We start from the raw sequence: 26,532 nt of genomic DNA on the forward strand, positions 1-26,532 counted from the left end.
TTTCCTTCTACAGTTTATTTGGTATGTCATCATCCTTAGATTTGATATGTAGTAGGTTTAGAGAACATCTTTGCTTTTTACATTTTTTTCATAAGTTTTATATATGAAATATCACAGAAAGAAGTTCTAGGTTATAAATATATTAATAATGGCATATATACATATATAGCATCTCTGTTTTCATCAAACTGTTTCATATTTCTATTATAATTTTTATTCACAGACATTTAATGATTACCCTTAATATTCGTGACAGGAGCCCTCTGGCACAAATGGAAGAAGAAAGAAGGGAGCAAGTAGCTAAAATTAAGAAGATGGAGATGGAGATGGAGCAGGTGTTTGAAATGAAGGTCAAAGAAAAAGTTCAAAAACTGAAGGACTCTGAAGCTGAGGTAATCAGTCCAATATTCCAGCTCTTAGCAGACATTGTGTTCCTTTTTAAATAGTATCTTCAGTAAAATTTATAGATAATATAACCTTCTTATACATATTTTTTAGAAATTAATACCCTAGCGTAACAAAATGGAGAAATTTCTAGAAGCAAGCCCTGTTTACAATAAAATAATATAGACTTCAATACATAAGTGCTTGGACATAGTGTATTAGGTAGGACAGCATAGTAGAGTACTTACAATGAATTATTAAAGTTATAATGAACAAGTGTGAGTTGTGAAAAATAAAATTATAAGCCATTCCATACAGGTGGCATAAGAACACTAAAGATGAGAGTTTGGGGGTGGATTTATGCACAAAAACTAGTGCTAGGATAATAATAATTGACCAGACTTACTTGTGTATGAATGAAAAAGAGGGAAATAACCTTTATTGAACTAAAGACATGCCTGGATAAATTACACACAGTTAAAGGAGAGAAAATTAGGGAATGTGATATTTTTGTTAACAGGTTGGCCTTCTTTATTTATAATGTAGTGTCAAGGTAGTTCCTGGTGTTACAACATTGGGCAGGGTAATGACAAAACATCCCAGCAGACATATCTACTATCTTGAAACCCTTCTAGATGTCGAGTTATACATTTAGTTTCTATTAATCAAAAAGACCTTGGAGACATTTCCTTCAGTAGGTGGCAAGAAAGAAAAGATGGAGAAAAGGATAAACTTAACATAAGAATCCATAGAGCAGTAGTTTGATAGATATCTGAGAATAGTAGAAAAAAAATTGGGTAATCCCAAAATAAATCAGTGATTTCAGTATGAAGTTTTCTCAACATAAATCTGTTATAATTAAAAATTACAGGCCCTTGGGAAGCGTGGAGTCTGGGACGCCCAGCGCGGGCCCGGAGCAGGGGGAAGGGAAGCGCAGCTCGGTCCGCGTGGGTGGAAGGGACGTGAGGCCGCCCTAAGGTGGTGGTCAAGGAAGGGCTCTACGGCTCCCAAGCTAGGCCAAACGCCTCCGGCGGCCGCGCCCAGGCGCCCCTTCCCCTGTGGGGCAACCCTAGCCGGGGACGCGTGAACCACCTCCGTAGCCGCCCCGCCAGCACCCCCAGCCGTGCGCCCCTGCACCACGCAGCTGCCCTGCGCATGGAGCCCAGAGGGACAGCAGGCCCGGCCCCCAGCACCACCGGCCTGCCGGGAGGTTCGGGAAACTGGCGTCGCAGCGGAGAGGGCATCAGGCCAACGCCTCCCCCGAGGCTCAGCTGCGGGCTCCCAGGCGTAGGCACCCATGGCCCTTACGCTGACCGTAGCTTGGACGCCGCTGCCGCCGGGGTCCAATGCCGGTCATGCCCATCCCGCGGGGGTTGTGCTCCTTCCATGGTCCACACACCACCTGCCTGCATGCGGTCTGTGGGCCCGTGGGCGCCTCCCACCTGGCCCGCACCAAGTACAACAGCTTCGAGGTGTGCATCAAGACGCGCTGGCTGTAGGGCTTCATCCACTTCCTGCTCTACTTCAGCTGCAGCCTGTCACTGGGGCACGCTGGCCGCCTTCTTCTGCCTGCAGTACTTGGGCGTTAGCGTCCTCCTGTGCTTCCAGCACAAGCTGTGGGTGCTGCTGCTGCTGCTGGGCCGCTGGCGCGTGGAATTCCGCCTGGTGAACGAGCTGCTCATCTACAGCATCCACGTCACCATGCTGCTGGATGGGGGCCTGGGCTGGTGCCTCATGGTCTTCGTGGACATGTGAGGGCCGTGGGCGCGAGCTTGATGTATCGTCCCGGCCTGTGGCTGTGTCCTCTCCATGGGTGGGATCGGCCAGGGCCTTCCCTTCCGCCCATCCCGCAGGCAGTCGCTGCTGCCCGGCGCCCATGGAGAGTAAAGAAAGGGCTAAGACTTCCGTGATGGTGCGAACGCCGTCCCTAGGCTGGCTTCCTGCGCCCACCCTCCCCGTGTGCACTCTCAGGGGCGGCGCCCACCTGCTGGTGGCTCCTGCTCCCACGTCTTCAGGTCGTACTGCGGGGTGGGCCTCTCTCCAGGACCACAGCTGCCAGGGACTTTAGACATCACCCTGGGAGGCCGCTGGACACAGAGGGCTGTGTGCCCAGGAGCAAATCCAGACGGGGGGGGCCCGCCTGGCTGCACAGCCCCTTCCTGCGTGCCCTGGTCCCAGCCGCAGCCAACGGGACACGGAAGACTCCCCTCCCTGACACACCACACTGCCACAAAGCTGCTTACTCTGCCCTGGGCCGCCTGAGGCCTGGCACTGCCCGCGGACCACCCTCTGTGTCTCACCTGAGGGGCTGTGTGGGTTCTGAAGCCCCAGCCAGCCTTCAGGGTCACCTTGGATTGTGTAGATGCAGTCTAGCAGGGGGCCGGAGTGGGGCTCAGGTGGGAGGGGTCTCAGCAGGCTCCCAGCTCGGGCTGGCCTGGGGGAACCCCGGGAGCCAGGGGCCAACTCCAGCAACACTGGCCTGTCTGCCTGTTCCTGTAGGGCTGTATGTCCTGCAGATGCTGTGGATTTCTGGGGAGGAACCTCCATTCCTTTCTGGCTTTTTTTGCGGGGGAGGACTTTGGGCCTCTTTCTTTGAGGGAACACCCTCAAAGAAAGCCTGGGAGATTGAGGCTGCAGTGAGCCAGGATGGGGACTTGCGCGTCCGAGTGTCCGGAGCAGGCGGCAGAGGCTTCAGTGTGGCAACCACAGCCCCGGAGCTTGTGTGGCACCAGCAGCGTCTTAAAGCCTCGGGTATATGCTGAGAACTACTCTTTGAAGGATGGAATGTTAACATTTAAAGGACCCGTGAAGAGCTCTGGGCCAAGTTCCCACTAATACTCTAAGCCATTAGAGAATTAGGCATGCTCATTCTAGATGCTTTGTCTTTTATGAAACCACATCTAGAGTGTGTTTACCAACATCCCTGTGGTAATGAGTTTGCAAATCATCATGTATATGATACATGTAAATACATAAATAGGTAAAGAAACCCTTTTAGCCTTAATACAGTTTCTCCTTAAATTCATTATGCTGGAAATATTTGGGGCACAGCCAGCAGCACAGTACATCAGCCACAGCACCAAGCAACTTTCATTTATTGTGTCATCTAGTGCACACCACAGCCCTACAAGGATATTATTGCCCATCTCCCCTTTATAGATGAGAAGAAGGATAAGTTAACTTAGTATGCCAGCATTTAAACCCAGTTAATTTTTAGGTTTGCTGTTAATTGCTAGATAGGTCTACAGTCCTGTTTTTCACAATTTCAGAATGGAAAAAGCTCTGAAAACTGCAAAACCTAAGATGAACTAAGTTTTAATCCTACATATTGTGAATATTTATATATTTTACTGAAAAAAATAAAAAGTAATGTGTTTGATTATGTTTGTTGCCCCAGATAGCCCAGGAGGTATTTTATAAACATATACTCCTTTCTAAGCAGTGTTGTCATTTTAATAACAGAAAAATGTTGAACTTTGAAAGGCATCTGACCCCATGGGTTTCTTAAGAGTGAGATTGTGACCTATACCTTTATCTACATGCAGTTAACACAAAAGATAATTACTTACATATGACATAAATGTAAGTTAAGGAATGATGAACACTGTAAGCCCCACCACCAGCTTAAAAAAATAGAATGTTATCAACTCATTTGAAGACCCTGTGTGCCTGTCCCCTATTGTATCCCTCTCTCTCCATTCCCAGAGGTAACTACTATTCCGAATTGTGTATATGTGGTTCCCTTGCATTTAAAAAAAATAACTAGAGACACTTTCTTATGTTCCTACTTTCTGACATTTTCTTAGTAACTTGTTTGCTGTCATCAGGAAGATTTCACCTGATTTGACTCATGTTTGCTTAAATGTGTCTTACGTGATTTTGTTTTGTAGGAATTGCATGAAATAATTGAAATAGGAATAAATCTGAAGTCACTTCGGGCTTGCAAAAAAGAAAACAAATTGTATGCAAAATTATATTATAATCCAAATTCAAGATGTTAACTCACCAATGTAGTAAAATCTATAACAGAACATAATTCCTGGATAACTGAAGGTTTTGAATAGCCCTTGGGTATTTGGCATAGTAGGATTTAATCTGATTTTTAAAATTTGTTGACTTTTTTCAGAAATGGATTGACTTGCGCCTAAATGAAATTACTTATCTAATGATCTCTTGGACGTAAAGCTCTTTGTTTCTTCAGTTATTTTGCATGAGTGTTTCCCACCTCTCAGTCAGCATTCTTTACAGCATTAATACACAGCAGAGGAAGGACCACCTGCATTAGAATCACTGTAACTTGTTGAAAATCCACATTTCCAGACTTAACACCCAGATATTCTTTTTTTTTTTTTTTTTTTTTTTTTAGTTGCACCAAAGGCGGATCCTAGCTAAAAAGGGCCCGCGCTGCAGATTCAATATAAAAACACAAAAAGTCCCACCAGTTTAGTAACAAAAACCCCAAAAGTGAAAACTGAGGGGGCAGAGGAAGAGACCCCGGGCCAGGGGCACGAGGAGCCCTGCTCATGGCACCAGGCCTGGCCGTAGGGTCCCCCAGTATTGCTGTTGCTACGAGGTCGGGGGGCAGCTATTGTCCTGTGGCAGCCACCGTTTGCCTGGGTCGGGGACCCTCATTTCTTCTGGGGTGTGCTCAGCTTCTGCATGCCCCAGATCTTGTCCAGGAGGCCAGAGACGAAGGCCTCTGTGGGTGTGTAACAGTCAACCAGCAGCTCCTTGACCCTGGCAGCCCAGGCATCGTCAGTCTCCATGTCCAGGAGCTCATCCACATCAATCTCCAGTTCTGGGATCTACTCTTCCTGGCAGTCGCAGAGGCACGTGAGCTGCTCCAGGATCCACTCCTCTAGGTTGAGGCGCTTCCGTAGCTCCTTGCCGTCATACTTGACGGTGACCTTCCCTTGGCGCCTCACTGGGCTGTCTCCTGCGGCCCCAGAGGGGCTCTGAAAGTAGACGCGTGGTCCTGGGCCGCCACTGCCCGGCCCGGGGGCCAGGGCCGCCAACGCAGCGCCCCCGCGCGGTGCCGCTGTCCGCCTTGGCGGCCGCCGGGACCACGAGCACGCGTCGGGCCGTTCCCTGCGCCGCCGCCTTCGGGAGGCCGGCCGGCTGGCTCTGGTTAGGTCCCCGGCTCCTCTCCATGCTGCTCGGCGGCGAGGGCAGCGGCGGGGGCACCCGGGGGCAGCTGCAGCATGCGGAGCCCCCGGGCAGGGCCTGGCCGCGCCCCGCTCCCTCCCCGCCGATCCGCCTGCCCTTTGTCCCCGTGACCGCCACCCCTTAACACCCAGATATTCTAATTCAGTACATCTGAGTGAGGTCCAGGATTCTATATGTTTAACAAACATCCCAGGTGATTTGAATGAAGACCAGTGTCTGAGAACCACTGCTTACAGGAATCGGAGTACTTCACTGGCATCTTTGAGCTCTTAGGGTCCTAAACTACCTGCTTTCTTTTCACTTGTCTTAGCTTTCTACACTTGGAATTGGGTGGCTTGTTCAAGTCCTGGTTCTTCCACTTTCTGGCTAGCAGTCTTGGGCAAGTCACTTAAATTCTGCAACTATTTCCTCATCTGTACAATGAGAACAGTGATCACTGCCCAGCCTCCAACATATTTGTGATTAAAGAAAAAGGAGATAAGATAGTAATTTTCCATTATAAAGTACCACACATTGTTAAGTTTATTGCTTCTTTTTTTCCCCCTGTTTCCCAAGATTATTGTCTTGGGTCACTGGCCTTTTCCGTGGCAGGTCCTAAAATAGGAGGAGTCCTTGACCGTGCTTTCCAGGTAGTACTCTGAATTTACAACAGGGCTATTCAAATAGTGCTCATACTCCTTATCATTAGGGTGTCTGGATGAAACATACCTCTGCTTCTGGTTTCTTAAATAGTTTTGTTTTATATATTGTGCTATGATTTAGCTCCAGCGGCGCCATGAGCAAATGAAAAAGAATTTGGAAGCACAGCACAAAGAATTGGAGGAAAAACGTCGTCAGTTTGAGGATGAGAAAGCAAACTGGGAAGCTCAACAACGTATTTTAGAACAACAGAACTCTTCAAGGTAACTAATAGCAGATTACTAAGAAATGTGTGTATTAATGTTTTAAAGAATTGTTTTCCTACTTATTTAAAAAACATTAGAATAACACTTAAAAAGTCATCACCCATTATCATGCATTCCAAACACAACGGTTTCCATGGATAAATATTTTTATATGGATGGATACAGTCTGTGTCCATTAGCAGTATTTTTTCAGTACATCTTTCATGACTTAATATTCATAATTATGATTTAGCAACTTCATAACATTCTCCCCAGTTAACTCACCTGAATTGGATTTCTTACCTCCTCCCCCCAATTATTGGACATAAGGGTTGTTTTCAAATTTTGGCATACAAAGGGAACATTGCTCAAAATCTATTATATATTTAGGGGTACATTTTAATTGTGTTGAATTATGTTTTTACGATAAAATTCTTAAGACAAAATGTTAGATATTTAATTTCCAATACAGCTAATCAGTTACTTTCTCTCAATTTATACAAAATTCAATATTTGTACCTTGATTTTCTTTTCCTTCATAGTTTCATTTAAAACTGAAAAGTGGGATTCCTATAAGGATTCTATAATTTATCCTCATTACTAAACATTTTCAGATTTGACATTTGTTCTACTACACTAGCCTACTGTTAACATTTTCCCCAAAGAAGAGGAAAATAGATTTGTAAAAGCAGTTGCACTTCAGAATGCAAATGACAGTGGGGGAAAAGAACACCCTGTTTGATGCCAGTTGATGTTTTTCAGTTTGTGCTGTTTTATTTGGGAAGAATTGTTCTTGTATATTAAAGTGGGATTTTGCCATATTTTTTACTGCTTATCCTGGAATTTTGTCAAATATTTGATTGTCTAAGAAAATACTACTATAGGTTAACATTGTCTTAGTTGTTTACTTCTAAATCTTGTAATTTCTTTAAATGAAAAAGTAGTATCTGAAAATCCCAACATTGTTGTAATTGGGTTAGCTATTGTTGTTATCATGTTGTCTATCATGTTTATAAAATGGTCACTCATCTTGATTATTTTCCTTTCATCATTTAGAACCTTGGAAAAGAACAAGAAGAAAGGGCAGATCTTTTAAACCCTCTATTGACCACCAGTTACGTATTAGTTGCCAATATGCCAGCTTGGACATCAGCGTTGGATCCGTTTGACCAGTTTGCACTAGTTTTATCCATAATGATGGATTTAACAGCATGACAAAAATTATTTTTGTTGTTGTTGTTCTTGATGGAGATTAAGATGCCTCGAATTGTCTAGGGTGTTCTGTACTTAGAAAGTAACAGCTCTAAGTAGCTTTCCTACATTTTCTTTTTTTTTTTTATTAAACAGATATCTTTGGTTTAATGCAAAAGAACATTTTACAGTTGTACAATCATGTTCTGGTGGTTTGATTTTTTACAAGATATTCCAAAAAAAAGGACTCTGGAAGGTTTTCATTGAGGATAAATTGCCATAATATGATGCAAACTGTGCTTCTCTATGATAACTATAATACAAAGGTTCCATTCAATGCAGCATATACAATAATATAATTTAGTCTAACACAGTTGACCCTATTTTTTGACATTTCCATTGTTTATAAATACACATGGGGAAAAAAAAACCCTATATGCTTACAGTGCACCTAGAGGTTTTTTTTTTTATAACAGTCTCTTTTTGTTTGTTTGTTTTGGATTCTTTAAATATATATTATTCTCATTTAGTGCCCTCCTTAGCCAGAGTCTCATTACTGCTTCATTTTTGTAATAACATTTAATTTAGATATTTTCCATATATTGGCCCTGCTAAAATAGAATACAGCATCTTTCATATGGTAGGAACCAACAAGAAAACTTTGCATTAACTCCCTTTTTACACTTTATGGTAAGTAGCAGGGGGAAAATGCATTTATAGATCATTTCTAGGCAAAATCATTTCTAGGCAAAGCTAATGACCAACCTGTTTCTACCTATATGCAGTCTCTTTATTTTACTAGAAATGGGAATCATGGCCTCTTGAAGAGAAAAAAAGTCACCATTCTGCGTTTAGCTGTATTCATATATTGCATTTCTGTATGTTTTGTTTGTATTGTAAAAAATTCACATAATAAGCCATGTAGTGATGTAATAGAGTGTGGGGGCTTCAATATTCCACAGTCGATGTACAAGAGTAGAGTATGTTTGGGAAGAAACTTTTCAACTTGAATTTGCCTCCTCTATGATGACATCTCTTATATGCTTGTGCTGATTTTCTAATTTAAGAGATACCATATCTCTCTATTCATTTCTATCTCTCATTTGTATGCTTATTTTTCTGAGAACAATTTTTTTTTTTTTTCCAGACAGGGTCTTGCTTCGTTGCCCAGGCTGGAGTGCAGTGGCACAAACGCGACTCACTGCAGCCTCAACCCTCTGGGCTCAAGCAGTCCTTCTGCCTCAGCCCCTTGAGTAGCTGGGACTGCAGGCATGCACCACCACGCCTGGCTAATTTTTGTATTTTTTGTAGAGATGGGGTTTCATTATGTGGCCCAGGCCGATCTCGAACTCCTAAGCTCAAGTGATCCACCCACCTCAACCTCCCAAAGTTCTGGGATTACAAGCATGAGCCGTCATGCCTGGCCTCTGAGAAGTTTCTAACTCATTCAGATTAGGTATACTCTCAAGTCCCTGGAAACTGAATTTTTTAACTGGAAAGAGAGTGGTGTAATTTCTCAAGATCAAATGATGTAGATTTTAACATAATACATAATTTAAGTGTAATTAATGTAGCCCAGTTTATTATCTTGAAATGTTTTACCCTATTTACTTTTTAAATTAATGACCTAAGCAGAGGGAATAATTATAAGTCAATATCAGAGATTGTTGTTTGGGTGTTTTTTATTTATTTTTTTCAGTGTTTGTGTTGAGAGATTGGGTTAACACCTCTAGCCAAAAATGTTTGGTTTTAGGGAGGCTAAGAACAACCTACTGAATTTGGAGAATGCAAAGGTAAAAAATTTATACAGACTGCCTGCCTAACTGATTAAGTACTACTGCTTCTGGGAAATATTATTTCAAAATTGTATATATTATAATAACAGATTTCTAAGACGCATTCATTATTCTACCATCCTAATGAAAACTTCAGAAGTTTTTATCCATGGCATGCCCAGGGTGTCACCTGAATCTGATGTAGGATCTATATAACTTTACTAGGTCTTTTTATTGTTGACTCCAGTCTTAAGTATATTAGAAGGCTCGTTTTGCTATTTGGTCTGTGGATTTCTGAAAGGATCATTCACAATACATGTAAAATTCAGGTAGGCCTAAGGAAAGGCCAGCCTGTAGAAAGCAAAACGGCAGTGTCTGTTCTCCACTGTCAGAGGCATTATGTAATTGAAGTATCCTGTTAGCCACTGTCTTTCTGCTAATAAAGTGGGGCTGAACAAGTTAGCACTAATAATACCAGTGAACCACTTGGGCACCTTGTGGGTAAAGTTTTGCTGCCACCTAGTGGAATGGGATATCATTGCTTCCTTATCAGGTTCAGAAGCAAGTTGTGAAGTTGCTAATAAAATGGACACAGAGCTTCTTTCTGTGTAGCTCAGGCTGTAATCTTGAAAGCTGAGGAGATACAGACCCATGCCTCTCACACTCATTAGCTGGGTGTCACCACTACCACCTGCACATTCTGACCCACCACATCTTAATATGTTCTGTCCTCTTGGAGAAATTAATCTAGGAGTAGAAGTCAGAATATGGTAGGTGAGGGGAAGAAAGGAAAGATGGCTTGATAGCCATGAATGCATCAGGAGCAAAATGTTGACTCAGAAAGTTATCTAGATCACAGCCTCCAAACCTGATGTTGTTTCCTTATGAAAATATTTTTGAGTGTCCATAGTTATATGTATTGATATCGGGGAAACTGCCCCAATATTCATGTAGGTTCTTTTCTATTTTCCCTAAGCATTGGCCAGCTTCAGAAATAAAGGGACAGAGTACAAAAGAGAGAAATTTTCAAGCCGGGCGTCAGGGGGAGACATCGCATGTCAGTAGGTTCCGTGATGCCCCACAAGCCACAAAAACCAGCAAGTTTTTATTAGGGAGTTTCAAAAGGGGAGGGAGTGTGCAAATAGGTGTGGGTCACAGACATAAAGTACTTTACAAGGTAATAGAATATCACAAGGCAAGTGGAGGCAGGGTGAGATCACAGGACCACAGGACTGAGGCAAAATTAAAATTGCTAATGAAGTTTCAGGCACTGTTGTCATTGATAACATCTTATCAGGAGACAGAGTTTTGAGATCAACCATCGGACCAAAATTTATTCGGCAGGAATTTCGTCTTCCTAATAAGCCTGGGAGCGCTATGGGAGACTGGAGTCTATCTCACCTCTGCAGTCTCGACCATAAGAGACGACCACGCCCAGTGGGGCCAGTTTAGAGACCTACCCCCAGGTGCGCATTCTCTTTCTCGGGGATGTTCCATGCTGAGAAAAAGAATTCGGTGATATTTCTCCCATTTGCTTTTGAAAGAAGAGAAATATGGCTCTGTTCCACCCAGCTCACTGGTGGACAGAGTTTAAGGTTATCTCTCTTATTCCCTGAACAATTGCTGTTATGCTGTTCTTTTTTTAAGGTGCCCACATTTCATATTGCTCAAACACACATGCTGTACAATTTGTGCAGTTAATGCAATTATTACAGGGTCCTGAGGCGATATACATCCTCCTCAGCTGACAGGATTAAGAGATTAAAGACAGGCATAGGAAATCACAAGGGTATTAATTGGGGAAGTGATAAGTGTCCATGAAATCTTTACAGTTTATGTTTAGAGATTGCAGTAAAGACAGGCATAACAAATTATAAAAGTATTAATTTGGGGAACTAATAAATGTCCAAGAAATCTTCACAATCCACGTTCTTCTGCCATGGCTTCAGCCGGCCCCTCCATTTGGAGTCTCTGACTTCCTGTAACATATTGATCAATGAAAATATGTGTCAACAAATGTACTGCTACACTATTATGAACATTATGTAATAAAATTTGAAAGAGTAAAACAAAAAGGTTAGTTCCTAAGCCCCAATGAAGTATTACTCTACACCTTGGAGGCCATCGATCGATCTAAGTAGTATGTGGATAGTTAATAGTTACTGTTGAATCACCAAGGAAGGTCCTAGTGAAGACTGCTGTGGTGTCCTACTTGATTTGAAAGAAAAATTTGCCACACCAGTAAATTGAAGTCCTTTCTAATTAAAAGCTTGCAAATGTAAGTCCTTATACTTCATTCAGAATTTTACCTGCCTCTTTTGTTATAACAACTTCCCATAACTGTCCTGTTCCAGATGGTAACCTAAGTAGTTACATGTATTATCATCATTTAATCCTTAATAGATAACAATTGGATAAGTTATCTGTTAATATAACTTAATATGTTATCTAATAATTGAATAAGTTAGTAAACATTTTAAACCCTCAGTTTCCTCATCTGCGAAAGGATGAGGAAACTGAGGGTTTAAAATATTTAGTAGCTTATTCAATAGGTGGTAACTGGCAGAACCAGAGTTTGAACTGGTCTTGGTGACACCAGGGCCTGTGTGTAAATCTTATGCCTTACTAGCACCTAGTCTGCTCACTGCCACATTTCTGAAGCATGATCTACGGAGTTGTTAGCACAGAGCAGATGCTCCCTGATTAAGAGGGGCAGCTGGCCACCAGGCAGCCTGGAGAAGCAGAAAGCACCGGACACACTAATTGTCTCAGTTTAGACCCCAACTCTGTGAATTGGGCATGTAACTTTTCTGAATGTTTCCTCAGCTATAAAATGGGCCCCATGCCTTTGCTGTTTGGAGTGAGGATTACATTGTGACTGGAGTGAGGATTACACTGTGACTGCACACATTAAGGTGTCCGGACCTTGAGAATGTGATAATCTGCTGGGGTCATGACAGACCAAAAAGTATTATTTCTTCTCAGTTTTAGTGACAGTTTATTTTTAGGAAGTGTGCATAGTGCCATGATAAGTCTCTGGATCTGCTTCTTTGTGCACAGAGATAGTCTTTTGAAGTTAATTCCATGGAAATAAGGTAACTTTGGTCAAAAGAGGAAAGGTGTTAGTAATTGGAGTTATAAAATACGTCATTCTTTGTAAGTAATGCCGAGATGGTTTATCATCTTTAAAGTCTCTCATCTTTAACAAAAACTTTTGCTGCTTTTCAAGCAAACTTGGTTCCTGTAATTTGGGATTCATCCATAGAATGTTCAAAGTTTAGTGTCAGCCATTTTCAGCAGAAAATAGGGGCTGACAATTTCCTGTGTTCTTTAGACGACTTTGAAAGCTTCATGGGAAGAATGAAGACTATTCTTGGCCTGAATATTTGCCCCATAGGGTGCTGGACCCAGCCAAGCAGGCTTGTATTAGCAAAGGAGGGTCAAGTGAAAAGAGACCTTGTTCTGTGCCAGGCTCCCAAAGGGTAGCCTGAAGCCTTATTGGCCACACGGAACCTCTGTTTTAGATGCTGTTTGTGGACCTGCCGAAATCGAATGCCACTCAGGCTTTCTGAAACCCTTTTGGGGTGGGAAGAGGCAGTAGCTGACACCTCTGAGAGCAGAGGTTTGTGAAGATGTGGCATAGATGAGGAGGCTAGCAGAGGCAGGGTGGTCAGGCATTACCAAGAAACTTCCTTTTTGTTCTCTTTGTTCTCTCTTTGAGGTGGGCCACCCCGCTTAGCTCCCTTTTGTCCAAGTGTGTTGCAAGGGAGCAGCATTTCACCGGGAGATTTGCACGTAAGTAGAGCACAGATTCCCCTGGGTTAGGGGCTGGCTCTCACCCAAGTGTGGGGATACCAAACTAACTTGTTCTGGCAAAGGCATACAACTTTTTTACTCCTCATTTAATTCTGTTGTCTTTGAATTTTTAATGATCTCTTTCATATTTAAATATATGCTCTACTCTAGTGTAGCACAGAGAAGTTCCCTGTGCCTTGGATAAGCCAGTAGTTTTAGGCAACTTGGCAAATGGTGAGTGAAGCAATGAGCACCCTGGCATGGCCTCTGGTGTTAATGTGAGCTGTTTTCCCTGCGTTTCAGAAGTCAGGGAATATATCGGTGGGACGTAGTGGGAGCTGTAGAATTTTTTTTTCCATAGGGATAAATCTCAATGTGATTATACAAATCTCTGGCTTAGCCTGATAAAGTTAAAAAACAAAACTAAATATTTCAGGAACACAGTTCTCTCACCCAGACACAAATGAAATCTTCCTTAGACCTTTGTATTGCTGGGCAGAAGTGCCACAAACTCAAATTGGCATTTTCTGTCTCAAATCTCCACCTCATTAGTGCCTAATTAGACCCCATCCCTAAGAGTCGGGTGCTTGGAAGATGGAATGGAGACCACTGATAAAAATTCACCTTCTGTAGTCTCCATTCAGGTATGATTGGCCCGATTATAGCTCGTGTCCTGAAAAGGACATAGGAGGCTTTTTTCTCCAACTCGTAAGAACTGATGAACTAATCACACCAAATGCAAATGTTTTAGACAGTATATTCAAACTGGGAAAAATACCTGCCTATCAAGGGAGTGAGAACTCACTTTGAAGTCTAAGGGAAGGAAACAAAATTGGAAAAGCACAGCAATAAGCATTTGTGGAGTACTTGCTGTGTGCAAACACAGAGCGTTCACATAGACTCTAAACTAGAGCTCATGAGAAGGCTATGACATGGCCATTTTCACCTCTTCATAAAAACAAGCAAGCTAAAATTTCACTGTGTGATTCCCTAACATTTGTATTTGTTATCCATTTTTCCACAATAAATGCCCCTCAATCCTATCAACAAAATTTAAACCACAACAATCTGTAATAGTAACATTCATTATCTTAGTTTCTGCAGGTTAGGAATTAAGTGGTTTAGCTGGGTGGTCTGGCAGGGTGCGTTGCAGTAAAGATGTTGGCTGAGGCTGCAGTCAACTGTGGGCTTCAGTGGGCCTGGGGTATCTGCTTCCATGATGGCTCACTGACATCACTGGCAAGTTAGTGTTTACCATTTTTTTTTTTTTTTTGAGACGGAGTCTTATTCTGTCACCCAGGCTGGAGTTCAGTGGCGTGATCTCCACTCACTGCAAGCTCCACCTCCCAGGTTTGCGCCATTCTCCTGCCTCAAACTCCTGAATATAGGTGCCCGCCACTGCGCCCAGCTAATTTTTTGTATTTTTAGTAGAGGTGGGGTTTCACCGTGTTAGCCAGGATGGTCTCGATTTCCTGAGCTCATGATCCGCCCGCCTCAGCCTCCCAAAGTGCTGGGATTACAGGCGTGAGCCACCGTGCCCAGCCTGGCAAGTTGATGTTAAGTGTCCTCAGCCCCTTGCCACATGGACCTCTCTCCACCAGGGCTGCTTGAGTGGCCTTGTGACATGGTGGCTGGCTTTCTCCCTGAGCAAGTAATCCAAGACAGAGCAAGGCATAAGCCACATGGCTTTTATGGCCCGGCTCTGAAAGTCACACACATAATTTCCCAATATGCTGTAGCTAATGCAGCTTAGTCCTGTTCAATGCGTGAAGGGACTGTACAAGAGTGGGAGTACTAGAAGGTGGCTGCCACAGTATTTTATCCATTTTCTGGGTAATAGACATCTGTTCATTTTTACAAATAATGCTGCAGTGAATATTTCTATATATATCTTGCCTAAATATTCAAGTGTTTCTATAGGCTTCTGTACCAACATGAACAAAGCCAGCAAATGCATCATTTTTAGGTTCATAAGCCTCTGTATGGGTTTCCTGGATGCATCATGCAGAATGTTTTATTCCCCTGCCTCTTCCCCACTCAGACCAGATCTCTCTAAAGGCCACCTTACATCCCTTATAGTCTCTTGACCAGAGAAGGGAATGGGATCTCTCCCTCTGCCTTAGAGTTTGGAAAGTCTCAGGGAAGAACTTTGACAGCTCCAGTAAGGAGGGTGGTACAGATGTGGTCACTGAGAACCACTGTGAGCCACACAGCACCTCGGATAGCCTGCAAATCTGCCTTCCCCCAGGGAATGGATAAATGAGGTGCCAGTTCTCCAGCCAACCTGGGCCTTTGAATCAGACTCACCCATACCTCATGCACCAGATCCAGGCATAACAGGTGGGCCATCCTGGGGCTTTGGCTATGTTGCTGTCATCCTATACTCCTTTTCCCCACATGCAGGCAGGCCATCATGAGACTCCAAGTCTTTCCACCCCTCCTTGCTGCCCAACCTGGATGTAGGTTTACACTGGCCCCTACTCCATGGCCATGTATACAAACCCTGCATCCCAGCACGTGCTCCCCCTCATCCCAGTGCTGGCTTCCTGCTGGTACCCCCAACAGATTGCCAAATGCCCCTTCCCCATTTACAGACTGTTAAATGGACTTTTCACTTCATATTTTGGCATAATTTCAAACAATTTACAAAAAGGTTGCTGAAAACACTTTTTGGTCTGAACTATTTTTGAGTCATGTGCAGCCTTGATGCGCCTTATACTAAATATTTGTGTGTATTTCCTAGAAACTCTCCCGTAATAACAGTACAATGATCAAAATGTGAAGAAATTTAGTGAGCTTTTAATAAGACTTAAAAACATGTATAGAGCTCTTAGATAATTCAGTATGTATTCATATTTATATACTTTGCATTTTGTATTAAGTTCAAAGTCCCCAATTCAGGCTGTTGTGCTTGCATTTTCCTTCAAATGAATTCAAAGGGGGGTCACCTCAGTGTCCCTGGGCCTGGCCCCCTTTGGTGCCAATAGACCCTGTGGGTTGATTGGATGGAATCAGCAGCAGGATTGACACCTGTCTAGGGGTCAGGCTCCCAGTTCACTTCTCCCTCCATTCTGTGAGGCAGCCTTTTCTTTTCCATCCCTCCCTCCTCTGAGCTCGAGGTCACTGGGGGCATGGGTGCAGGTGCCCACTCTGCACCAGACACGCACATACACTACGCTTCTGCCCTCCAGGACCGCGTGGCCTCAGAGAAACAGGCACGAAGCATCATGAGAGGGACGCTTTTTAGCGCAGGGTCACAGTCTGCAGAAAATCAAGCGTGGTCAAAATCAGTGTTCCCTTCCGAGGGCCCAGTAAAGACTCAAACCCTCAGGCTTCCGTCCCCACGTCCTAAGTGGCACTGGACCCCAGCCTGGGCTCTACGTGTCCCCCGCCCGCGCTGGCCACCTCCGGGTGGACCCTAGGATTCCGTAGCCGCCCCCTAGCCCCGCGCCTGTGGGTCCCTTCTCCGTGGGGCCTCTGGTCTCTTAGGGTCGCCGGGGGCTGGAACCCATGGGGCCACCCTCCGAGGGTCAGCAGCGGCCGAGGCCGTTGCCACAGAAGGTGGCAGCACCTCCTTGCGGGTCGCGAGGAGTGGGCTCCCCCAGGGGGCTTTTGGAGCGCGACCCTGCGACCCACGCCATTCAGCAGTGGGATTTTATTTTGTTTCAGAAATACTCCAGGGCCGTCTAGTCTCTTTCTCTATTTAGGGAAGAGGTTTAAGAATGTTACAAAAGCAACAGACGCCTGAAACAGAACGTTACACCCCAGCATGAAGAAAGCACCCACAGAGTGTGCTTCCCCCAGGGGTTAAGCATAGAATCTCCCCGTGGCCCGCAGTCCCCGAAGAGTAAGGCAAGGACCCAGCGGATGGAGGGGCAGTACGGCACTGTTCCCCAGGGCCCGCGAACAAACGTTAACAGGCTGAATGGTAAGCCAAACGTGGTATTCCCTGCTATGGAATGCTCTTTAGCCTTAAAAAATGTGAGTCTGATGCGTGCTGCCAGGTGGGTGAACTGGGAAAAACTTAACTAAAAGTGAAAGAAGCCAGACACGAAAGGACAAATACTGCATGAGTTCACAATGAAATATCTAGAATAGGCACATTCACAGGGACAGAAAGTAGGTTATGGCTTACCTGGGGCTGGAGGGAGAGGAAAATAGAAAGTTATTGCTTAATAGGTACAGAATTTCTGTTTGGGGAGATGTCATGCCTGCTACTGAATTGTAAGTTAAACATTGGTTACATGGCAAATTTTATATAATATATTGTTTCCCATAATTTAAAAAATAGTGAAAACCCATTGCGTTTACTCCTCTACCTCCCATTCACCTCTTTTAGGCCAGGGGCAATTGAATGACTTAACTGGAGTCATGCAAATGGAAGGCACAGGATTTGAGCCCATCGCAAACCCAGCAGGACCAGTGAGGCACAGCGTCCCTCTGAGCAGCCAGCAGGCGCCTGGGCCTGGAGGGGCTGCACCCTCACACCCCCTCACATCCCTGGGAACACCATAGGTTACTCATCAACTTCCTCATTCTTCTCCCTGTGCTTTCTTTGGCCTGGGCCTGGTCTGGGCCTTAGGGTGCTGGTCCCAAGCTTCCCCAAGTCAGGGAGTGACGGGACTATTCTAGAATCCCATCCTGTCTGTTCCCTGCCCAGGTCAGCACAACAAGAGGGAGACTCTGGTAGCTTCCCAGAGACCCCTCTCTCCTCCTTAGCAGGTGGGGGCAGGAGTCAGGCCAACGTGGTCCCCTCATCTCCAGGAACTTCTCCTGCTTCACTGCAGCCCCTGCCTGTGCCCTGTCCCTCTGAAAGCACAAGCTCACTCTCCTCTCCCACCACTGGTCCTCACCCACTCCTGTCCTCACCTCAGGGCACCAGGCCCCAGGTCCCCACGCTTGGCCTCACCTCCCACCTCCTCAGATGTGTGCATTGCCCAACAGGCACATCAGATGCCGCTTAGGTTGCTAAAGCTTTGGGAGGCAAAAAGCTTGAAGTTTGATACTGTTTTAGAAAAAGACATCAAATCACTTATGGGAAACCAGGATTTGTTGACCTTCATTGCACCTGTGTAGAGTTTAAGCTGGTTTTTCTTTTGAATTGGATAGGTGGGTGGTGGTGGCGCTCATCTTGCAGGGCTGACAGCCCCTATACATGTTGTTCTGGCCCTGGCCAGCCTGCATGCGGGTCAGTCCCTTCTCCAGCTTCTCACTTACTCTCACCAGGGCCTGAACATCACAGGGAGGCCAGGGCATGAGAAGAGCTGGAGAGAGGAGAAGGTGGGAGAGCCCTTCAGTCTGGAGTTTGCTGACTGTGGGATGGGGTGCGGGGCAGAGTGCAGGGCACAGATGGGAATGCTGGGGAGGGGTGGGACTGGGCCAGGGAGAAGCACAGGGGATGACAGATCACCCTAGGGGTTCCCATTTTGGATAGTGGTCAAGGACCACAGACGGCATCAACTCCCTGATGGCTACAGAGGGGGAAGATACAGGCCTGTCCTCAGAACATCAGCCTGGCCATTGGAAGTGGAGCACTGGATTAAGAGTCCCCAGTGACCTCATCATGTCCTTGATGGATGTGGGACCTCTCTGGAGAAAGGCAGTGTCGGCTTGGGTTTGACAGACACTCATGGAAGGACCTCCATGGGTTGTGACTGCACACACTGGGCTCACCATGCTTATTTTGACCACATGGACAGCCTGTTGGTCCCAGCTACTCAGGAGGCTGGGACAGGCGGATGGCTTGAGCCCAGCAATTCAACTCCAGCCTGGGCAAGACCCTATCTCTCAAAAAATATAAATAAATTAATAAAAATATGTCAACACTGTCTGGTAGGTGGTCTGGTTATGGGAATGGGGGTGTGAGTGGAGGCCTTTGAGGCCCCTCCCTGTGCCCTGTCGCCTTCTGTCCATTTAGAGGAGTGTGTATGTGAGGAAGATGAGGCAGAAGAAGCCAAGTATGGGCCCCGACTCCCCTATCAGGTGGGAGAGCTGGGGACATAACTCCCAGTGGGCACCAGGAGGCAGTGCAGCCCCAGCATCAGGCCCTTCCCACAGGGGAGCCCTGGCTTCAGCAGCTGCAGAGGCAGTAAACTCCTGGGGCTAGATCAACGTTTTTGGATTTTAAGAAGTAAAAGACGTTTTGAGGGTCATGAACTTGGTGCAGGTCTTTGCAGTACCAGGTGGACAAACCTCATCTGGGGAAAAAATCGTGAGACCAGGTTCTGCTCTCCAGCTCTGATGAGAAAAGCAAGTTTTCCCTCCTCTCTTTGCCACAGTTTCTCTACTTATCAGATTGAAATGGTGTCTTCCCCACCTACTGCTCAAAGATCTCTCGTGCCATTGATGTGAAACACTTTTCCCATGTTCAAGGTGGCTGGCCTAGTCATTGGCATCCCTGTGGCAAAGAAATGTACCAACGTTATGCCTTTACAAATGGATTCATAAAGAGTCCGTTTTTTTTTTTTCAGGCTGGGCACGGTGGCTCAGGCCTGTAATCCCAGCACTTTGGGAGGCCAAGGCGAGAGGATCACTGAGGTCAGGAGTTTGAGACCAGCCTTGCCAACATGGTGAAACCCTGTCTCTACTAAAAATACAAAAATTAGCCTGGCGTGGTGGCACGCACCTGTAATCCCAGCTACCCAGGAGGTTGAGGCACGAGAATCTCTTGAACCCAGGAGGCGGAGGTTGCAGTGAGCCAGGATTGTGCCACTGCATTCCAGCCTGGGTGATAGAGTGAGACTCGGTCTTAAAAAAAAAAAAGTCTGTTTTTTGGAATTAATTTTCCGTAGATGGAAAGATGCAGCAGATGCGTGATGCTCTGGCTTCCATGGCCACAGATGGCCCGGAACAGTCACTAGCTAGTTTGTCCTCAAAAGAAGTGAGACCCGCAGAGAGTCAAAGTCATCAAACCTGGCCTGCAGGAGACCTCAGCAGCACCTGGGAGCCTCTCAAGTGCAGGGGTGGGGGACAGTCTGTGGCTATCCACTGCTGAATGTCCACTGCTAGGGCCTTCCCTTTACTAGAAGTTTCTATCGCTAAAAAGCAACAATCTCTCAAAGTGAGAGGAGGGAGAAGAAGGATATGAATTTCTGCGTGGCCAACCTGACAACATTTTCTGAAAGAGCTTGGGTCTGTGCAGTCTGAGGAAGGCAGTGAGGCCAGCACAGGACAAGACAACCACAGGATGAATTCCTAGAGCCAGGTTTTGAGCACATCCCCTGGGAGGGGCAGGCAATGCATGCTGGAATAATCCAGTGAGGCCATACTTGCTTACTGAGAGGAAGACTTTGCAGGTAGATGCGACTTTCTAATAGGGCATCAGGTTCTAAAAGTCTATTCCGCCCAGATAATTTATATGAATCTCAACCATGTGCATCAGGTAGGTGCCAGTTCTCACTCGATCCTGAGAAAGTTCCCTAACTTGTTTTTTTAAGAGTCAAATTTCTTATTTGGAGAACACGGATGATTGTCTCTACCTCATGGCATTGTGGTGAAGATAAAATGAGATTATATCTACCAAGCGCCTAGCAGAGCATGTAGGATGCAGTATAAGCTCAGTAAATGTTAGTGTGGCAGGTTGCTGGGTGAGCGACTGTGAAATTTTGGTTGTTTAGTTCAGGGGTCTTTGTTTAAGTGCTTCTGGTAATCCTTGTTGGGTGGGGGCAGAAGAGTGGGTTTGTGGTTTATTAGGGAAAAATGAAAGGTATTTTCCTTCTTCCAGGAAAAGAGCCAGACTTTCCTGTTCAAGGTCTTGACCCCTGTTCCAGCCCCACTTATAGCCAAAAGTAGGAATGAAGATGGCCTTGTGGTTTTAAGGCTGATGCCCTGTCATGGCAAAAAGAGGCAGAACGGATGCCTTGTGTTGTGGAGACTCGAAAAGGGGTGGTGGCCTGAGGCTGTCATCTGTCTCCTGAGGACTGGAGAGAGCCAGCCTTCCCTTCGGCATGGCCTCTGAGGAGAGGTCAGCTGTTGCATACTGTGGGGCCTGCGCAGGCCCAGTGGGGAGGGCGGGGGTGGCCTGGAGCCCTTCTCCTTGGCACTGCCCCGCCAGATGCAGAGGGGAGGCTCAGGAGTGAGTGCTGTGGCTGAGGCTGCAGAGCTGCCCAGGTGGCGTGCAACTTTCCTGCCAGATGTGGGGAGCTGCCCTGACCTGGGACCCCGGATCTGGACCACTGGAGGACCTTTTCAGGGCTGTGTAACCTCAGCCCCCACCCAAGGTTCTTGTGGTATCCATAGGGGGAGTCCTCATGTGCCTGATTTTAAATACGTGCCAGTCTTAGTGGGTAGGAGAAGGAATCCGTTCAAAATAAACCAGAGGACAACACATTTGACATGACTGGCCCCTTGGGAAGAACATGGATAACACTGCCCTAGGTCTTGGGATCTCAGCAAGTCAGTGCCAGACAAAACTGCTCAAGTGATTTTCATATGTGGTTTTGATGTTCTTGACATAAAATGGGCAGAGGCCTGAGGAGTCACAAACTATACACACACACACACACACACACACACACACACACACACACAGCAGCAGCAGCAGCAGCAAGTAAGAAGTAGAATGAGCCAGGACTAAAGCCGAGTAAAATGCAAATATAAAATATACACACAGTGACACCAGACAGCCAGGTACACATCCAGGGATACATCTCAAACATACTGGTGAGGAGATGGGTATGGGAGCAAAAGGAATCTTAAGCAAAAAAAAAAAGCCAGAAGAGGGGTCACGTGCCCTGTCAGTGATGATAGTGTTCCGAGGCTGGGAGGATGACAAGCACAGTTCTCTGCAGACATGGCCCACAGAGGTAACAGCCAGGCAAAAATGGTGGGCAGAAGCCCCAGAGGGTCTCTCCAGATGCCATGAAACCTACAAGAAATGCCATGAGGCTGTGGGGAATTTGTTAGGCACATGGAGCGATTTCCAGGCCTGTGTCTGCCCTTCTGTCCCTGTTGAGTTACCAGTGTTGACTCACACCCTGGCACCTGGATGGATTTGTGTGGGTCGCCTGGCGATCGCGTAGGTTCCTGTAAATACAAACAGCCTAGGTCTGACAGGAATTTCCTTACTGCTTTCCTTCAGAATTGATATTAGAAGTAAATTGCTCTCTTTAAAGTGTTCAACCCTAACATGTCCCACTGGGAAAACTCTCTCTTTTTCTGTGGCCAAACACTATCAGGCTTTGTGAATTTTATAGAAGAACCAGAATTGAGGGCCAGACCTCACCCTGGGAAGCCCTGGCCATGTCTTTAAGTGATGGGGCTTGTCTGTGAATTGTCCTTGTTGGAAAGATGGAGGATAGCTTTAGTGCTGGCCACCATTGCTGGTGACACACAGCCTTATCCAAGGAAGTACATTAAGAACTCAGTGCTTGTGGCCATCAAAGAGATTCCAGTCTCTTTTTGGAGGAACTGGTTAAATCTATTATGATCTAATCAGACAATGTAATATTTTGCCCCTACAAAAAATCCTGCTTTTGAGGCCTTCTTATTGACATTGGAAAATGTAAATGTTACATCTGCTGAAATAATATTTAGCGAGTGCCTTTGCCCAGAACATGAACTGATTAGGGCCAAGCTGAAGCACAAACAAGTCACATAAGAACCTGCTGGGAAGAACTCTGGCAGTAAAAACTGTTTTCCATACCATAGCTGACTGGTTTGCTTTTCAGACCTTGTGAGCCAGAGGAGATGTTCCCAGAATCACACAGTGCAGGAGGCTTGGTCCTGGAAAACTGTCAGGTGGTCAGCAGTGAGTGATGAACGATGTGATCACAGCGGCGTTTCCCAGCCAGGCCTCGTGCAGGGGCCACGCCTTCCTACCTCCTCATACACCCTGGTCCCAAAGTCATCTTGGAAGCACAGGCTCTGAACCCTTATCTAAGGATTAAAGAATAGCAGAAAAACCAGACATTTAGAGGTATTTAGACATTTAAAAGAGCCCATGAAATCCAGGCGGCCTGTGTGACCTTCATTTTCTCCTACGAGAGAGATGCAGGGACTTGGGTGCTGTGCTGTCCCCGAGGCCATGGGACAACCCCCCTACCCCGCAGGAGTAGGGGTGCTCTGTGTGTAGCTGCACTCAGTCTCTCCACCGCCTCCTGTTCCAGGACACCGTCATTCAATAAGGCTAAGATTTTGTTTTTAATGTTCATAAAGCCTCTTAATCCTGAGAACGGCTTGACTGTGCATTGAGTTCCTGAGAACAGGACTAAAATATCTATACAATATGAGTCCAATTATATTTATGGCTAAGCATCCAAATATACCTAGAAAAAAAAAGCTTAGAAGGAAATGGGCCAACATATTAACAGCTTCCCTCCCACCTTCCCCCGCACACAAATGTGATGGTTTTAAGGGAAGTTTAAATGTTTCCTTAAAAACAGCTTTATTGAGATATAATTGATACTGAACTTTGCTTTAAGCAAACAAAAAATGAACATTAAGATTTATTTTTTAAGATTTAGGGTATAAGAAAATGAAATAAAAGGCATCCAGATAGTAAAAGATGAAGAAAAACTGTATTTGCAGATGATATGATCTTATATATAGAAAATCCTAAGGAATCCATGAAAAAACTATTAGAACTAGTAACCAAGTTGGGCAAAATTGCAGTATACAATGACAATTTATATACAAATCAATTGTATTTCTTTTTATTTTTATTTTTGAGACGAATCCTTGCTCTGTCACCCAGGCTGGAGTACAGTGGCATGATCTCCGCTCACTGCAAGCTCCGCCTCCCGGGTTCACGCCATTCTCCTGTCTCAGCCTCCCATGTAGCTGGGTCTACAGGCACCCGCCACCACACCCGGCTAATTTTTGTATTTTTAGTAGAGACAGGGTTTCACCATGTTGGTCAGGCTGGTCTTGAACTCCTGACCTCAGGTGATCCACCTGCCTCAGCCCCCCAAAGTGTTGGGATTACAAGTGTGAGCCACCGCGCCCAGCCAAATCAATTGTATTTCTATACACTGGCAACGAACAATCCAAAAATGAAATTAAGAAAACAATTCCATTTATTAATATAATAAAAAAGAATAAAATACTTAGGAAGTTAATAAAAGAAGTACAAAACTTATACTCTATAAACTACAAAACACTGTTGAAAAATGTTAGACAATGTAAAAAGATGGACAGACATCTCATGTTCATGGATCAGAAGACCGAATATTGTTAAGATGGCAATACTCCCCAAACTGATCTACAGATTTAACAGAATCCCTATCAGCACACACAACCACCCCCTGCCCCCCAGCTGGCTTCTTTGCAAAAATGGGCAAATTAATTCTAATATTCACATAGAAACTCAAAAGACCTAGAATAGCCAAAATGATACAGAAAAAGAAGAACAAAATTGGAGGACTCAAACTTCTGATTTCAAAACCTATAAATCTACAGTAATCAAGACAGTGTGGTACTGGCATTAAGATAGACATATAGATCAGTAGAATAGAACCAAGCATCCAGAAATTCTTACATTTACAGTCAACTGATGTCCAACAAAAGTGCCAAAATAATTCAATCAGAGAAAGAAGAGTCTTTTCAACAAATGGTGCTGGGACTAGATATCCACATGCAGAAGAATGAACTTGGACTCCTAATTTACTAAAAATGGATCAAATACCTAAATTTGAGAGATAAAAAACTCTTAGAAGAAAACACAGGGGTGAATCTTCATTACCTTGAATTTGGCAATGGTTTGTGAGATATGACATCAAAAGTATGAACAACAAAAGAAAAAAATAAATAGAAATTCATCAACATTAAAAATTCTGTGCTACAGAGGACACTATTCAGAAAGTGAAAGACAACACACACAATGGAAGAAAATATTTGCAAATCATATATTTGTTAAGGGACTTGTATTCTAGAATATATAGAACTCTTAAAACTCAACAATAAGACAAACTCAATTAAAAAGTGGGCAAAGAATCTCAATAGACATTTGTCCAAATATACAACCACATGAAAAGAGGTTCAGCACAACCGTCAAAGAAATGCTAATAAAAACCACAATGAGATACTATTTTACATCCACTGTATTAGTCCATTTTCATGCTGCTGATAAAGACATACCTGAGACTGGACAATTTACAAAAGAAAGAGGTTTAATGGCTTACAGTCCACATGACTGGGGAGGCCTCACAATCATGGCAGAAGGCAAGGAGGAGCAAGTAACATCTTAGGTGGATGGCGGCAGGCAAAGAGAGAGATTGGGCAGGGAAACTCCCCCTTATAATACCATCAGATCTTGTGAGACTTATTTGCTATCACTAGAACAGCATGGGAAAGTCCTGCCCCCATGACTCAATTACCTCCCACCAGGTCCCTCCCACAACACATGAGAATTCAAGATGAGATGTGGGTGGGGACACAGCCAAACCATATCATCCACTATGATGGCTTTCCTCAAAAAAGCAGATAACAAGTGTTAGTGAGAATGTGGAGGAAGCAAAAGTTCCACACGCTGCTGGTGGGAATGTAGAATGGTGGATCTACTTTGGAAAACAGTCTGGCAGTTCCTTCAAAAAGTAAACACAGGGTTATCATTTGACCCGGCAATTCCACTTGTTAAAAACAAACTGAGGGCTGGGGCACGGTGGCTCATGCCTGTAATCCCAGTACTTTGGGAGGCTAAGGCAGGAGGATTGCTTGAGTTCAAGAGTTCGAGACCAGTCTGGGTGACATAGCAAAACCCTGTCTCTACAAAAATACAAAAATTAACCAGACATGGTGGCACGCACCTGTGGTACCAGGTACTCCTCCCACCCAGGAGGCTGAGGTGGGAGGACTGCTTGAGCCTGGGAGGCAGAGGCTGCAGTGAGCTGAGATCATGCCACTATACTCCATCTTGGGTGACTGAGTGAAACCCTGTCTAAATAAATAAATACTGAGGCACATGAAAATTTTTAATGAGTTTATTTGAGCATTCAGTGATTCATGAATTCATCAGTACCAGACCACAGCAGTTCAGTGAAGGCGTGCAAGAAGAAACTTTTATAAGGTGTTTGTGGAAGCAAGACAATGAAAATACTTGATTGGTTAAGGTGGAAAGTCCTTAGTTAGAGGTTAGTTGGTGGCTTCTGATTGGTTAAGCTTTAGTTTCATTTACTGTTTACATCAAATTGGGTTTTGGTTTGCTTACATAGGAACCCAATGTGCTGGAGCTGTCTCAGCCTAATAGCCTCCCAATTAACTATTTTAACACATTCCTAGGTGTATACCCAAGAGAACTGAAAGCATGTGTTTACACATAAACTTGCCTGTGAATGTTTGTATCTGCATTATTCATAATAGCGTAAAGGTGGAAAGAACCTAGTGTCCATCAACTGATGGCT

At 44.8% G+C, this 26,532-nt stretch overlaps 1 long non-coding RNA gene and 2 pseudogenes across 1 annotated transcript, besides 2 other annotated features; 1 reads left to right on the forward strand and 2 right to left on the reverse strand.

Moving 5' to 3' along the window:
- Positions 1-8,758, forward strand: part of SEPTIN7P3 (septin 7 pseudogene 3) — a 28,603-nt pseudogene extending 19,845 nt beyond the window's left edge.
- Positions 1,515-2,014: an enhancer, noted in NCBI's record as "H3K4me1 hESC enhancer chr7:36007259-36007758 (GRCh37/hg19 assembly coordinates)". NCBI's record gives its function as "activates a minimal SCP1, AML or CMV promoter by ChIP-STARR-seq in primed H9 embryonic stem cells {active_cell/tissue: H9 hESC(primed)}" and the evidence as "EXISTENCE:reporter gene assay evidence [ECO:0000049][PMID:30033119]".
- PPP1R14BP4 (protein phosphatase 1 regulatory inhibitor subunit 14B pseudogene 4) lies at positions 4,816-5,628 on the reverse strand (annotated as a pseudogene).
- A 2,533-nt stretch (positions 8,759-11,291) lies between the features above and the next one.
- On the reverse strand, positions 11,292-25,354 carry LOC107986734 (uncharacterized). Its single transcript, XR_001745010.1, has 3 exons — positions 25,315-25,354; positions 22,839-23,071; positions 11,292-11,379 (listed from the first exon to the last, which is right to left on the reverse strand). It is a non-coding gene; the product is annotated as an uncharacterized LOC107986734 (long non-coding RNA).
- Positions 19,142-19,191: a silencer, noted in NCBI's record as "silent region_18099". NCBI's record gives its function as "represses an Ori minimal core promoter by ATAC-STARR-seq in GM12878 lymphoblastoid cells {active_cell/tissue: GM12878}" and the evidence as "EXISTENCE:reporter gene assay evidence [ECO:0000049][PMID:35858748]".
- Positions 25,355-26,532: the final 1,178 nt, after the last annotated feature.

The sequence above is a fragment of the Homo sapiens genome, chromosome 7 (genome assembly GCF_000001405.40).
Source record: "Homo sapiens chromosome 7, GRCh38.p14 Primary Assembly".
In the NCBI taxonomy this organism is placed as follows: Eukaryota; Metazoa; Chordata; class Mammalia; order Primates; family Hominidae; genus Homo; species Homo sapiens.